Below are 14,484 nucleotides of genomic sequence, written 5' to 3' on the forward strand. Positions count from 1 at the left end.
GACAGAAGCACTGGACTGGTTTTCTCAAGTTGGCAAATTTTATTTAGAAAAAAAAAAGTGGGAGAGAAAAAAGTGACAGCGCTCTTTAGACCAAGGACTTAGAAGAGAAACCTCCACCCTTCCGGAGCACGTTAGTCCCTTCCCTCTCTCACTGCTCAACCTCCCTGGGCTTCCAGAGCAAGAAAAGGCTACGTCCCCTGTCGAAGGAGAGTGGACGGTGAAGGTGCCTGGAAACGGCCAGAGAAAAGACCTAGGCGGTCGATGTTGCGGTGGAGGACACTGTGCAGCACAGCCAGATGGGGTCCACCCTCACCTCCACCCTCCCTGGAGAAGTCCCGAATGAAGCGACCCCGCTCTGATTGGAAGATGAACTTCTGAGGCAAGGGCCCATGCTCCCGGAGAAAACCCCAGACACTGAGCAGCAGCAGACGCACCTCGAAAGGTGCCAGTTGGCTAAATACTTCATGCATATTACCCAGGGCCGGAGGCAGGAGGCTTCCCTCAGCCATGACAGCCACTAAGGTGCAGGATGCCTCCAGGTGCCAGGGGGAGTGGGTCGTGTCAGGGTGGCGAGAGGCTTCCCAATGGCCCAAGAGGGCGGCCAGCAGCCCCCGAAGCAGCACGGAACAGTAGCACAGGGCTGGGGGTGCAGCTGCTACCAGCTTTAACAGCTCAAAGAGCAGGGGCTGTTCGCGGAAGCGCCGGCCAATGCGGAGATCCCGCTCCACGGTGGCCCGGGCGTGTTCCTCGGGGGGCCAGGCCAGCTCTGCACCAGCTGCATCGGGACACACACTCTCCACCAAGGTCACTGCCACTGCTTTGGCTGCCTCTGGACTCAAGATGGGTGCCCCCCAGCATTCCCCACATTCAGTGCCCCCTGGGGCACTGCAGCAGTGAACCAGGAGGCTGAGGAGGCTCTGGGTGTTATAGATCACTTCCTGCTGATTTCGTGACTGGACAAACTTGGGTGGCTTTAAGCCACGGCCGATGACTCCAGCATGGAAAACTGACCAAATCCCTCCAGGACCTGGCACAGCTGCAGTGTGCCTCCGGTTAGTGTCCAACAGGGAGGCAGAAGCCAAAGAAGCTGAAACAACTGAGAGAGTCTCATTGTCCCCATCTACTTGCCCACCAAACAGTTCTGTGTTGCCTCGATGTAAGGCTCCTTCAACCAGCAGCTGCAGGACAGCCTTGAGCCCAGCTGGGGATGTCTGAGACAGGCGGGTGAGAAGCTGACAGGCTGAGGCCACACCTGGGGGTCCATGCAGCCTCAGAGAGGCAAAGAAGCGGTGCACCCCAGCCCTTACCAGTCCCAGGAGCTGGGAGGGGGATAAGGCTTCAGAAGGAAAGGGACAAATGGCCAGGAGAGAGGCAGCAGCTTCAGCTACTTCCTCCTCAGGATGTAGCAGGAGAGGAGCCAGGTCAGACAGATGGGCTGAGGCAGATTCCCCAAAGTGCGCCCCTAGGGCTGCAGGGCCCTCGCCACCCTGCTGTTCCCACCCTACTAGCAGTGCCAAGTTGCGCAGGAACCGGGCCGTGAAGGGAGGCTGTAATGTCCCTGCATGCACCCGAGCCAGACAGCTTCGGAAAGCCAGGGGCAGGAGGCCAGAGAGGCTGACCACTAGCCCTGCATATAACTGGGTGGCCAAACTCAACTCTTCAGGGCTTCGGGCTCGGCTCAGCAGATGGCCCAAGGCCTCAGGTCCACAGCTAGGCCGGGTATAGACAGACAGCAGGCCCAAGAGCTGGTGCTGCCAGAGGAAGCGCTTCCGTTCCAATCGTAACGTCTCTCCACACAGCTCTCCAACATGGTTTTTGAGCGCATCTAAAAAGGGCACCAAGCGGGGAGGTGGGGGCGGGCCTAGCACCCCTTCCCCAGGAGACCCTCCCCGGTGATGAACCAGTTTTTGCAGGTGCAGCAGCAGCAGCTGGATTAGCCGGTCACAAGCCTCACGCACGGTGTCTGGCACAGCCAGGCCCTGGGTGGTAATGACCGAAGCAGGCATAGCTGTGTCCACCAGGAACTGCAGCAAGCGGTAGGCACCTGCCCCAGAGGCCTGGCTCACCAGGTGCACAGCCAGGTTCAACATGTTGTCCAGCTCCTCTCGGGGGAATCCTTGAAGGTGTTGCTGCAGCTGGCTCAGCACAGCTGGGGGCTTGAGGCAATCCACAAGCTCTCCAGAGACAGTGCCCAGCAAAGCTGGTGACATGACTGCCAGCTGCAGTAGGAACGGAACCGTGGCCTGAAGGGAGGGGTCCCCACTGCGGCCTCCAGATCCCCCTGCCAGGCTATCATGGAACATTCGCAGGAGCTCCCGTCGGATGCTATCTCCGTGGCGGGAGGCCAGGTGACCTAGGATGCCTACAACTGAGGCAATCTTGGGCACCCGTTTCTCCGCAGGAATGGCAGGAGATCCAGGGAAGGGGTCTGTAGAGGGGGTCTGAGAAGAGCTTCCACCACTACTGCCAGCTCCACCTCCAGCCCCACCATGGACACAAAAGTCCTTAAGGCCACAGGAGAGAACCCGGGAAATGATGGTGCCAGGAAAAGAGGAGCCAATATGTGCCACAACCCAGTCAAAGTGTGGAGAATGCTGAACAGAGGTATCCAGCAAGGCATCCACACACGCATCTGGGCAGCTACCAATGAGAGCCGAGAGGCACTGCACATAGATGTCCATTAATGTACGCGTGGCCCTACAACCCATCCACAGCTGTAGCAGTTCATTAAGAGCGCCAGTAGCGTGGGGAACACGCTGGTGCTGGCCTGAGTACGTGCTGCTCAGTTGCCCCATGAGGTCAATGGACCATGCACTAATCACAGGTGCCCAGGCCTTTGGGTTGGCCCGGATAAACTCAGACAGCACCTGCTGCACTTCCTGAACCACATCCTCTAGACCAGGTCCACCAGCAGGGACATGAGAGGGTGGAGGTGGACGGAGGTGAGGTGGACCAGCCACAGGGGTTTCATCCAGGGCAGCCAGGTGGGCCCGGACACTCTCATCAAAGACACCTCTCAAGTGGTCAAGCACAGCAGCCCGAGCAGGTGGCAAAGAACGGAGCAGGAGAAGACCACAGCGAGCATGTTCCCGGGCTGAGAGTTGGTGGCCCAGAATGGGGTCTACGCCAGTCAGAAAAGCCTTGATTTCCTGGGACAGCTCCTGAGCACTACAAGGAAGCAAAAGAAACAGACTTAAGAGTGTTGTGAGATGTTAGGCAACTTACCTTTCCTGTATGAGCTTTGCCTTTTATGTTAAATAGGGATAATAAAAATACTTCCCTCATAAGAGAATTTTTTTTTTTGAGATGGAGTCTCGCTCTGTTGTCCAGGCTGGAGTGCAGTGGCATGATCTCAGCTCACTGCAAGCTCCGCCTCCTGGGTTCACGCCATTCTCCTGCCTCAGCCTCCCTAGTAGCTGGGACTACAGGCACCCGCCACCATGCCTAGCTAATTTTTTGTATTTTTAGTACAGATGGGGTTTCACCGTGTTAGCCAGGATGGTCTTGATCTCCTGACCTCATGATCCGTCCTCCTCGGCCTCCAAAAGTGTTGGGATTACAGGCGTGAGCCACCGCGCCCGGCCTTTGTTTTGTTTTTTGAGATAGAGTCTTGCTTTGTCGCCCAGGCTGGAGTGCAGTGGCGCCACCTTGGCTCACTGCAACCTCCGCCTACTGAGTTCAAGCAATTCTCCTGCCTCAGCCTCCAGAGTAGCTGGGACTACAGGTGTGTGCCACCATACCCGGCTAATTTTTGTATTTTTAGTAGAGACAGATTTTACCATGTTGCCCAGGCTGGTCTCAAACTCCTGACCTCAAGTAATCCGCCCACTTCAGCCTCCCAAAGTGCTAGGAGTACAGGCATGAGCCACTGCTCCCGCCCTGTTTTTGTTTTTCAAGACAGGGTCTCTCTCTGTCACCCAGGCTGGAGTGCAGTGCCAAGATCACAGCTCACTGCAGTCTCGAACTCCCAGACTCAAAGCATCCTCCCATCTCAGCCTCCTGAGTAGCTGCAACTTCAAGCACATGCCACGACACCCAGCTAACTTTTTAACCTTTTTATAGAAATGAGGTCTGGCTATGTTCCACAGGCTGGTTTCATGGCCTCAAGCAGTTTGCCCACCTTAGCCTCCCAAAGTGCTGGCATTACAGGTGTGAGGCACCATGCCTGGTTGAGAATGTTTATAAAGCACTTAAGTTCTGCAGAAGGATGGCCTGAGGGAAAAAAAAGCACTTAGGTTCCATACCAGATTCACACTAATCACTCAATAAAAGCTATGTTTCTTTCTCCCCCCGCCCCGAGAGGGAGTCTCGCTCTGCCGCCCAGGCTGGAGTGCAGTGGTGCCATCTCCACTCACTGCAAGCTCCACCTCCCAGGTTCACGCCATTCTCCTGCCTCAGCCTCCTGAGTAGCTGGGACTACAGGCGCCCGCCACCACGCCCGGCTAATATTTTTTTTTTTATTTTTAGTAGAGACGGGGTTTCACCGTGTTAGCCAGGATGGTCTCGATCTCCTGACCTTGTGATCCTCCCGCCTCGTCCTCCCAAAGTGCTGGGATTACAGGCGTGAGCCACGTGCCCGGCCAAAAGCTATGTTTCTTTCAATGACAACAGTAATAATATCAGCAACAGATAACTCTTAGAATATATCAGGTACTCTTTTAAGTACTTTGCGTGTATTATTTCAATCCTGACAACAGTTCAATAAGTTAGGTACTATTATGATCCCATTTTACAGACAAATCAAGGCTGGCTTCAGTGGCTCACGCCTATAATCCCAGCACTTTGGGAGGCCAAGGCTGGTGGATCGCTTGAGCGCAAGAGTTCAAGACCAGTCTGAGGAACATAGTGAAACCCCATCTCTACAAAAATAATAATAATAATAATTAGCCAGGCATGGTCGCATGTGCCTGCGGTCCCACCTACTGGGGAGGTTGAGGCAGAAGGATCACTTGAGCCCTGGAAGCAGGGCTGCAGTGAGCCAAAATCACACCACTGCACCCCAGACTGTGTGCGCCGTCAAAAAAAAGAACGAAATCAAGGTTAAGCAATCAGACTATATGCGCCATGAGTGTAGGAACCATTTCTGTGCTCTTCAACACTGTATCCACTTCTATTGAAGTACACAGTATATGGAAGGTAGTCAATAAATATCTGTTGAGTTGACTATATTTGTGTTTCTATAATATCTGCTTTAAAAACATTTCCAGGCTGGCTGAGGTGCCTCACGTCTGTAATCCTAGCACTCTGGGAGGCCAAGGAGGGTGGATCACTTGAGGTCAGAAGATCGAAACCAGCCTGGCCAACAGGGTGAAACCTCATCTCTATTAAAAATACAAAAAAAAAAAAAAAATAGCCAGGCATGGTGTAATCCCAGCTACTCAGGAGGCTGAGGCATGAGAATCGCTTGAACCCAGGAGGCGGAGGTTGCAGTAAGCCGAGATCACGCCACTGCACTCCAGCCTGGGAGTCAGGGCGACCATCTCAAAAAACAAAAACAAAAAAAAACACACCTTTCCACTTTATCACCTTCTACCACCACCCCCGCCCCGCCCCATCCCACAACACAAGCACCTTGAAATCTCTTAATGGGAAAAAAAAAAAATTGTAAGCACCTTATTAAGGGCTCTCCCTCCTAACATCTGTTTCTTCCCATATTCTGCAAAATCTTAGTCACCTACCACCACATCAACCACCACCACCTACTCAGCACCCTCAATGTGCTTGGACATCAGGGTGTCCCAGGGCACAGAGTAATAATGCTTTTCAACCCTTTCCCTCCTAAAACATATATGGGTTCAGTCTCAGAGGTTCAGAAGCCAATGTTATGGGAGGTGGCAAATCCCCTTTCTCTTATCGCCTTTTCTGTCAAAGAAGACAGCATCCTCTAGGTGCTGATAAGGCTCTAACAGTGCCATTCCTCTGTTTCCTCCAAAAAACACCCTAATATAAGGGAATATCTCAGCCGGACTGCATTCTGTTTCTGGGCCTGGGTTCTCAGGGAGTCTCTATGAAGTCAGGACACTGGGTTTCCTAGGGTCAAAAATGGCCAGGGCAGCTGGGTTCCCAAGAGTTCAGATACCCCCGACTCTTGGGAGAGGAAGCCCGGGGTCGAGGGTAGTTAGGCATTGGAGTCTAGCGAGAGGCAGGCCCGAGGTCGGGAGGGCGGGCACTGGAGCCCTGAGTTTTGGTGAAGCAGTCCCTGAGTTCTGGGAGGACCTGACCAAGAATCTGAGAACCCTGACGTGAGTTCTCGAGGTAGGATCCGGGTTTCTACCGAGAAGGCTAGGGATCGGCGCGGGGCCGCGCGATGGGGGGAAGGTGCCAAGGGCTCTAACTACCTGAGAGGCGCGGGACCGTGGGTGGCCGGGGCAGGCCCAGGTGGCCCTGGGGCCCCGGGAGGGTCGCACAGCGCGGACATCCCGGAGCCCGAGCCGAGCCCGAGGCGCGAGCGGCGGAGCGCAGGCGGCGCATGCGCGCTGACAGGAAACGCGAAAGGAACCAGCTACCAGGCCTCGCAGGAAAATTAATCCGGCGATGTCCTCGACCCTCTTACATTAGTTCCGCACCCTGTCGGAGTCCCAGAGCATAATCCCGGGACGATGATAGCAGGAAGCCGATTCGCCCTATATGCAACCACTTTATTCAAAAGCCTATTGACATACAGACTAGGCCGGGCGCGGTGGCTCACGCCTGTAAACCCAGCACTTTGAGAGCCCGAGAGGGCGGATCACCTGAGGTCAGGAGTTCAAGACTAGCCTGCCGTCTCTACTGCAAATACAAAAATTAGCCAGGCGTGGTGGCTTATGCCTGTAATCCCGATTACTCGGGAGGCTGAGGCAGGAGAATCGCTTGATCCCGGGAGGCAGAGATTGCAGTGAGCCGAGATCGCGCCACTGCACTCCAGCCTGGGCGACAGAGCAAGAGTCCCGATAGACACACACACACAGAGAGAGAGAGAGAGAGAGAGAGAGAGAGAGAGAGAGAGAGAGAGAGAGAGAGAGAGAGAGAGAGAGAGAGAGAGAAACTAAAACACTCACAGGGGTATTTTAATCATTTTTCCTAACGCCAAAAATACAAAATGTTCAACTCAGGACTTTTTTTTTTTTTTTTTTTTTTTGAGACGGAGTCTCGCTCTGTCGCCCAGGCCGGACTGCGGACTGCAGTGGCGCAATCTCGGCTCACTGCAAGCTCCGCTTCCCGGGTTCACGCCATTCTCCTGCCTCAGCCTCCCGAGTAGCTGGGACTACAGGCGCCCGCCACCGCGCCCGGCTAATTTTTTGTATTTTTAGTAGAGACGGGGTTTCACCTTGTTAGCCAGGATGGTCTCGATCTCCTGACCTCATGATCCACCCGCCTCGGCCTCCCAAAGTGCTGGGATTACAGGCGTGAGCCACCGCGCCCGGCCTCAACTCAGGACTTTAAAAAAATGAAGCATAGGAAGGTTTTTTTGTTGGTGTTGTTGTTGTTATTGTTGTTTATTTTGTGACCGTGCAGTGATAGGATCACCCCTCTCGGCAGCCCCGACCTCCTGGGCTCAAGACATCCTCCCACCTCAGCGTTCTAGGTAGCTGAGATTACAGGCGTGCGCCATCACACTTGGCTACTTTTTAAATATTTTCAGAGTTAGGGATTTGCATGTGGGTGGGGCGAGTGTCTCGCTATGTTGCCCAGTCTGATCTCAAACTCCTGTCCTCAAGTGATTCACCCACCTCAGCTTCCCAAAGCACTGGGATTACAGGAGTAAGCCACGCACACCCGGCCAGTCTCTCTTTGTTTTTGTTTTGTTTTGTTTCGTTTTCCTTTTGAGACAGAGTCTCACTCCCTCACCCAGGCTGGAGTGCAGTGGTGAGATCTGAGCTCACTGCAACCTCCACTTTCCAGGTTCAGGAGATTCTCCTGCCTCAGCCTCCCGAGTAGCTGGGACTATAGGCATCCACTACCAAATCTGGCTAATTTTTTTATTTTTATAGAGACAACGTTTTCCCCTGTCCGCCAATCTGGTCTCAAACTCCTGACCTCAAGTGATCCATCCACCTCAGCCTCCCAAAATGCTGGGATTACAGGCAAGAGCCACCGCACCCAGGCTTTTTTTAAAATCTCATTCTGTCGCCCAGGCTGGAGTGCAGTCTCGTCTCTGCAACCTCCACCTCCCAGGTTCAAGCAATTCTCCTGCCTCAGCCTCCCAAGTAGCTGGGACTACAAGCATGTGCCACCACGCCCAGCTAATTGGAGACATGTTGGCCAGGCTGGTCTCAAACTCCTGACCTCAGGTGATCCGCCCGCCTCAGCCTCCCAAAGTGCTGGGATTACAGGTGTTAGCCACTGCACCCCTCCTACAAAAATACTTTTACGAGAGAGAGAGAAAAGGGAAGAGAGAAAGCAGAAAAGAGATGGAAAGAAGAGAAAACTCATAAAAGAAAAAGAAAAACTAAGAAAGAGAAGGAGGGAGAGGGAGCCCAAAACAAATTGGGCTAGCTAGCCTGAAGATGTCCTCCCAGTAGCAAGTATGAATAACATCCTTCCATCCGTCTTCATTATTTAAGCTTCTCTCTCTCCCACAGCTTCCCAGCATAGGGACCTTCGTCTAACTCACAGCCCCACACCTGCCAGAGATAGAGCTTGCTAACTGTAAAGGGAGCCAGTACACCTCATCAAGAGCCCTCACTCAAGCCAGTGTACCTAGATCAGGTTCCAGCTCTTCTACCTACTAGTTGTATACTTTACTTAACCACTCCATAACTGTTCCTTCTTCTGGAAATGAGGAGGTAATATTAATAGTACAAATACCTCAAAGGGTTGTTACGAAAATTGAAATGAGGTAGTATGGTCATTGTATAGCACTTGGTGCCAGCAATGGTAAGCACTAGATAAGCATTAGCTATTTTTATTATGTTTATTGAATGAAACAGAAAATAAGCTGCTTGACAATAGAGACTTGGCCTATTTTGTTAAAAGCTATATCCTCGGGCTGGGCGTGATGGATCATGCCTATAATCCTAGAACTTTGGGAGGGCGAGGCAGGGGGATCACAAGGTCAGGAGTTCGAGACAAGCTGGCCAACATAGTGAAACTCTGTCTCTACTAAAAATACAAAAAATTAGCTGGGCATTGTGGCGCCCACCTATAGTCCCAGCTACTCTGGAGGCTGAGGCAGGAGAATCCCTTGAAACCGGGAGGTGGAGGTTGTGATGAGCCAAGATTGCACCACTGCACTCCAGCCTGGGCAACAGAGCGAGACTCAGTCTCAAAAAAAAAAAAAAAAATTAGCCAGCGTGGTGGTGAACACCTGTGATCCCAGCTACTCAGGAGGCTGAGGCAGGAGAATCGCCTGAACCCGGGAGGTGGAGGTTACAGTGAGCTGAGACTGCACCACTGCCCTCCAGCCTGGGCAACAGAGCAAGACTCCGTCTTAAACAAAACAAACAAAAAAACAGAACCTACTACATGCCAGGCAGACACTGTTATAGGTGATGAGGATATAGCAGGTTTTGTTGTTGTTGTTGTTGTTTTTGAGACAGAGTCTCGCTCTGTCACCCAGGCCGGAGTGCAACACCATAATCTCGGCTCACTGCCACCTCCACCTCCTAGGTTCAGGCGATTCTCCTGTCTCAGCCTCCTGAGTAGATGGGATTCCTAGCGCCCGCCACCACACCTGGCTAATTTTTATATTTTTTAGTAGAGACGGGGTTTCACCATGTTGGCTAGGCTGGTCCTGAACTCCTGACCTCAGATAATCCACCTGCCTGGGCCTCCCAAAGTGCTGGGATTACAGGCCTGAGCCACTGCGCCCAGCCCTCATGCATGATTTTGTGTTTGTTCTTAAATTTTATTTACTTAAATTTTTTAAATTCGAGATGTTCCCCAGTCTGGTCTTGAAATCCTGGCCTCAAGCAATCCTCCCACCTCAGCCTCCCAAAGTGCTAGAATTATAGGCATAAGCCACAGTGCCCCGTCTGTTCTTACATTTTAGAAGTTCAATCATTTACAGTGTTTCTACCACCTATTACCAAGCATCATTCTAGGATGGTAAATCTGAGGCAATTTCTACCCCTAGCTCTGCCTCAAACTTGGACCCAACACTTCCCTTCTCAGGGCCTCAGATCTGTGAAAGGAAGCTTTTGAACCAGATGAATTCTTCCAGCTGTGAGACTAGAATGTATTTCTTGACCTTAGAGATTGCATAATCTAAGGGTGTTCATTTTGGAGTTGGACAGATCTGGATTCCTATCTGCCATTTATTAGTAAAATAACCCTGAGCAAGTGACCCAGCTGTTTGGAACCTGTTTCCTTGTCTGTGAAACGAGCATGACACCTCCATCTCACACACTTTGTGAAGGTCACTTGAGATAATTTATGTAGAGCTTAGCGTAAATGCTAGATACAGAAACTCCTCTTTGAATGACAACAGTGACAAGAGGAAGTTTGAAGGACTCTGGAATTAGACTGCCCGGACCCAAGTGCTTCTATCATTTTCTAGCTAGTTACCATGGGCAAGTTTTTCTGTACCTTGATTTTGCCTCTCTAAAATGGGGATAGTGGCAAGGCGAGGTGGTTCACACCTGTAATCCCAGCACTTTGGGAGTCTGAGGAGAGCGGATCACTTGAGGTCGGGAGTTCAAGACCAGCCTGGCCACGTGGTGAAAACCTGTCTCTACTAAAAATACAAATAATTAGCTGAGCATGGTGGCGGGTGTCTGTAATCCCAGCTACTTGGAAGGTTGAAGCAGGAGAATCGCTTGAACCCAGGAGGCGGAGGTTAGAGTGAGCCGAGATCTCACCACTGCACTCCAGCCTGGATGACAGAGCGAAACTCCAGCTCAAAAAAAAAGAAAAGAAATTTTAAGTTGGGCCGGGAGCAGTGGCTCATGCCTGTAATCCCAGCACTTTGGGAGGACAAGGAGGGCAGATCACCTGAGGTTGGGAGTTCGAGACCAGCCTGACCAACATGAAGAAACCCCGTCTCTACTAAAAATACAAAATTAGCTGGGTGTGGTGGCACATGCCTGTAATCCCAGCTACTAGGTAGGCTGAGGCAGGAGAATCGCTTCAACCTGGGAGGCGGAGGTTGCGGTGAGCCGAGATCGTGCCATTGAACTCCAGCCTCGGCAACAAGAGCAAAACTCTGTCTCAAAAAAAAGAAGAAATTATAAGTTGGGAACAGGGGATTAATGATGGTTGGAGCTGGGCAATGAGTAATATTTTCATATTTTGTCTACTTTTGTAAATGTTTGAGATTTTTCCATAATAAAAAGCAAAATACAGCTAGAAGAAACAACTTTAATACTTCTCATTATACTTAGAATAAAATTCATATTCCCTACTGGCCCTACTTTTCTTTTTCTTTTCTTTTTTTTTTTTTTGAGACAGAGTCTCGCTCTGTCGCCCAGGCTGGAGTGCAGTGGCGCGATCTCGGCTCACTGCAAGCTCCGCCTCCCGGATTCACGACATTCTCCTGCCTCAGCCTCCCGAGTAGCTGGGACTACAGGCGCCCGCCACCGCGCCCGGCTAATTTTTTGTATTTTTAGTAGAGACGGGTTTTCACCGTGTTAGCCAGGATGGTCTCAATCTCCTGACTTCGCGATCCGCCCGCCTCGGCCTCCCAAAGTGCTGGTATTACAGGCGAGAGCTACACTCAACTTCTAACAGTTCCTAGAACACAGTAAGTTCCTTTTCCCTGTTAGGCACAGAGAGAACAAAACTATGAAGGATTGAGCATGCCAAGCCGTTGAAAATGTCTTTCTTTCTCTTTCCTATCTCCTCCTCTCCTTTCCTTACTGCATCTGAACACAGTTCAATTTCTTTTCGTTTTTTTTTTTTGTTTTTTTTTTGAGATGGAGTCTTGCTCTGTCTCCCAGTGCAGTGGCGCGATCTCGGCTCACTGCAAGCTCCACCTCCCGGGTTCACACCATTCTCCTGCCTCAGCCTCCCAAGCAGCTGGGACTACAGGCGCCCGCCACCACGCCCGGCTAATTTTTTTGTACTTTTAGTAGAGACGGGGTTTCACCGTGTTAGGCAGGATGGTCTCGATCTCTTGACTTCGTGATTCGCCAGCCTCGGCCTCCCAAAGTGCTGGGATTACAGGCTTCAGCCACCGCGCCCGGCCTTCGTTTTTTTCGTGTTTTTTTTTTTTTTTTTGAGACAGAGTCTCACTCTGTCGCCCAGGTTGGAGTGCAGTGGCACAATCTTGGCTCACTGCAACCTCTGCCTTCCAGGTTCAAGCGATTCTCCTGCCTCAGCCTCCTAAGTAGCTGAAACTACAGATATGTGCTGCCACACCCAGCTAGTTTTAGTATTGTTAGTAGAGACAGGGTTTCATCATGTTGGCCAGGCTGCTCTAAAACTCCTGATCCCAAGTGATCCGCCCACCTCAGCCTCCCAAAGTGCTGGGATTACAGGCGTGAGCCATCACAACCGGCCAGTTCAATGTCAAAAGAATACTTCTCCTGTGTTTAAAACTGGACATTAGCCGGGCGTGGTGGCTCATGCCTGTAATCCCAACACTTTGGGAGACCGATGCAGGTGGATCATTTGAGCCCAGGAGTTGGAGGCCAGCCTAGGCAAAATGGCGAAGCCATGTCTACAAAAAATAAAAAATGGCCAGGCACGGTGGCTCACACCTGTAATCCCAGCACTTTGGGAGGCCGAGGCAGGCGGATCACGAAGTCAGGAGTTTGAGACCATCCTGTATCTACTAAAACCCTGTCTCTACTAAAGATTAAAAAAACTTAGCCGGGCATGGTGGCGCATGCCTGTAATCCCTGCTACTCGAGAGGCTGAGACAGGAGAATCGCTCTAACCCGGGAGGCGGAGGTTGCAGTGAGCCGAGATCATGCCATTGCATTCCAGCCTGGGCAACAGGGCAAGACTCCGTCTCAAAAAAAAAAAATAAGGCCGGGCGCAGTGGCTCACGCCTGTAATCCCAGCACTTTGGGAGACCAAGGCCGGCAGATCACAAGGTCAGGAGATTGGGACCATCCTGGCTAACATGGTGCAACCCCATCTCTACTGAAAATACAAAAACTTAGCTGGGCGTGGTGGCGTGCACCTGTAGTAATCCCAGCTATTCGGGAGGCTGAGGCAGGAGAATCGCTTGAACCTGGGAGGCGGAGGTTGCAGTGAGCCGAGATTGCGCCACTGCACTACAGCCTGGGTGACAGAGCAACACTCTGTCTCAAAATAAATAAATAAATAAATAAATAAATAAATAACTTTGCTGGCCATGATGGCATGCTCCTGTAGTCCCAGCTACTGGGGAGACTGAGGCGGGAGAATGGCGTGAACCCAGGAGGCGGAGCTTGCAGTGAGCTGAGATTGCGCCACTGCACTCCAGCCTGGGGGACAGAGCGAGACTCAAAAAAAAAAAAAAAAAGAAAAGAAAACAAACAAAAACCACTGAACATTAAGTGAAATATTGCACAGGGAAAACAACTGGACATAATAATTTTTTACTAGTGAAATTGCTGACTCCAAGTTCTTAGGCAGGGAAAGTAATAGGTGAGTCTGGAATATATTATTGTGCCAGAAAGCAATGAAGTGCTCAAATACTGTGGTTGTGTCATAAGGACTTAGGGACCAACTTGAAGAAGCTATTATTTGCCAAACTTGTCATAATTTCAGCATGAAAAAGTGTTAGCAATAAATTATAACATTGGAAAAAATCTGTAAATTCATAGTGATAATAAAAAAGGGGCAGGGCTCTTTTTTGTTGTTGAAAAGTCTTGCTCTGTCACCCAGGCTGGAGTGCAGTGGCACGATCTCGGCTCACTGCAACTTCCCCCTCCCGGGTTCAAGTGATTCTTCTGCCTCAGCCTCCCGAGTATCTGGGACTACAGGTGCAGGCCACCACACCTGACTAATTTTTTGTATTTTCAGTAGAGACGGGGTTTCACCATGTTGGACAGGCTGGTCTTGAACTCCTGACCTCAGGTGATCCCCTGGCCTCAGCTGTCCATAGTGCTGGGATTACAGGAGTGAACCACCATGCATGGCCTGGGCTCTTCTTTATAGAATGTCATAGGAATAATATGAATGAATGAATGAATGAATGACAGTATTGGAAAATCACCATTTTGTAACACAGTAATAACTAATTCAGGTAATGATCATCATGGCTACTAAACCATTGGGTGGGCCAGGCACAGTGGCTCACACCTGTAATCCCAACACTTTGGGAAGCCGAGGTGAGTGGATCATTTGAGGTCAGGAGTTCAAGACCAGCCTGGCCAATATGGTGAAACTCCGCCTCTACTAAAAATACAGAAAAATAGCCGGTGCAGTGGCTCACGCCTGTAATCCCAGCACTTTGGGAGGCTGAGGTGGGCAGATCACCTGAGGTCAGAGTTCGAGACCATCCTGGCCAACATGGTGAAACCCTGTCTCTACTAAAAACACAAAAATTAGGTGGGCGTGGTGGCAGGCGCCTGTAGTCCCAACTACTCAGGAGGCTGAGGCAGGAAAATCCCTTGAACATAGGAGGCGGAGGTT

General features: G+C 51.2%; 1 protein-coding gene across 1 annotated transcript, besides 3 other annotated features; it reads right to left on the reverse strand.

Moving 5' to 3' along the window:
- Positions 17 to 6,471, reverse strand: INTS5 (integrator complex subunit 5). Its single transcript, NM_030628.2, has 2 exons — positions 6,339 to 6,471; positions 17 to 3,168 (listed from the first exon to the last, which is right to left on the reverse strand). Exons 1-2 carry the CDS (start codon positions 6,416 to 6,418, stop codon positions 189 to 191), a joined length of 3,060 nt encoding a protein of 1,019 aa, NP_085131.1. The 5' UTR covers positions 6,419 to 6,471; the 3' UTR covers positions 17 to 188.
- Positions 5,882 to 6,641: an enhancer, noted in NCBI's record as "H3K27ac hESC enhancer chr11:62420185-62420944 (GRCh37/hg19 assembly coordinates)". NCBI's record gives its function as "activates a minimal SCP1, AML or CMV promoter by ChIP-STARR-seq in naive H9 embryonic stem cells {active_cell/tissue: H9 hESC(naive)}" and the evidence as "EXISTENCE:reporter gene assay evidence [ECO:0000049][PMID:30033119]".
- Positions 6,214 to 6,413: a silencer, noted in NCBI's record as "silent region_3423". NCBI's record gives its function as "represses an Ori minimal core promoter by ATAC-STARR-seq in GM12878 lymphoblastoid cells {active_cell/tissue: GM12878}" and the evidence as "EXISTENCE:reporter gene assay evidence [ECO:0000049][PMID:35858748]".
- Positions 6,704 to 6,793: a silencer, noted in NCBI's record as "silent region_3424". NCBI's record gives its function as "represses an Ori minimal core promoter by ATAC-STARR-seq in GM12878 lymphoblastoid cells {active_cell/tissue: GM12878}" and the evidence as "EXISTENCE:reporter gene assay evidence [ECO:0000049][PMID:35858748]".

Source organism: Homo sapiens, chromosome 11 (genome assembly GCF_000001405.40).
Source record: "Homo sapiens chromosome 11, GRCh38.p14 Primary Assembly".
Classification (NCBI taxonomy): domain Eukaryota; kingdom Metazoa; phylum Chordata; class Mammalia; order Primates; family Hominidae; genus Homo; species Homo sapiens.

Bases quoted from the DNA above. Each gene is read 5' to 3' on its own strand.
- INTS5 (NM_030628.2), bottom strand. From the start codon at position 6,418: ATGTCCGCGCTGTGCGACCCTCCCGGGGCCCCAGGGCCACCTGGGCCT. The intron at 3,169-6,338 runs GTAGTTAGAGCC...GCTTCCTTGTAG, and splicing joins CACGGTCCCGCGCCTCTCAG to TGCTCAGGAGCTGTCCCAGG.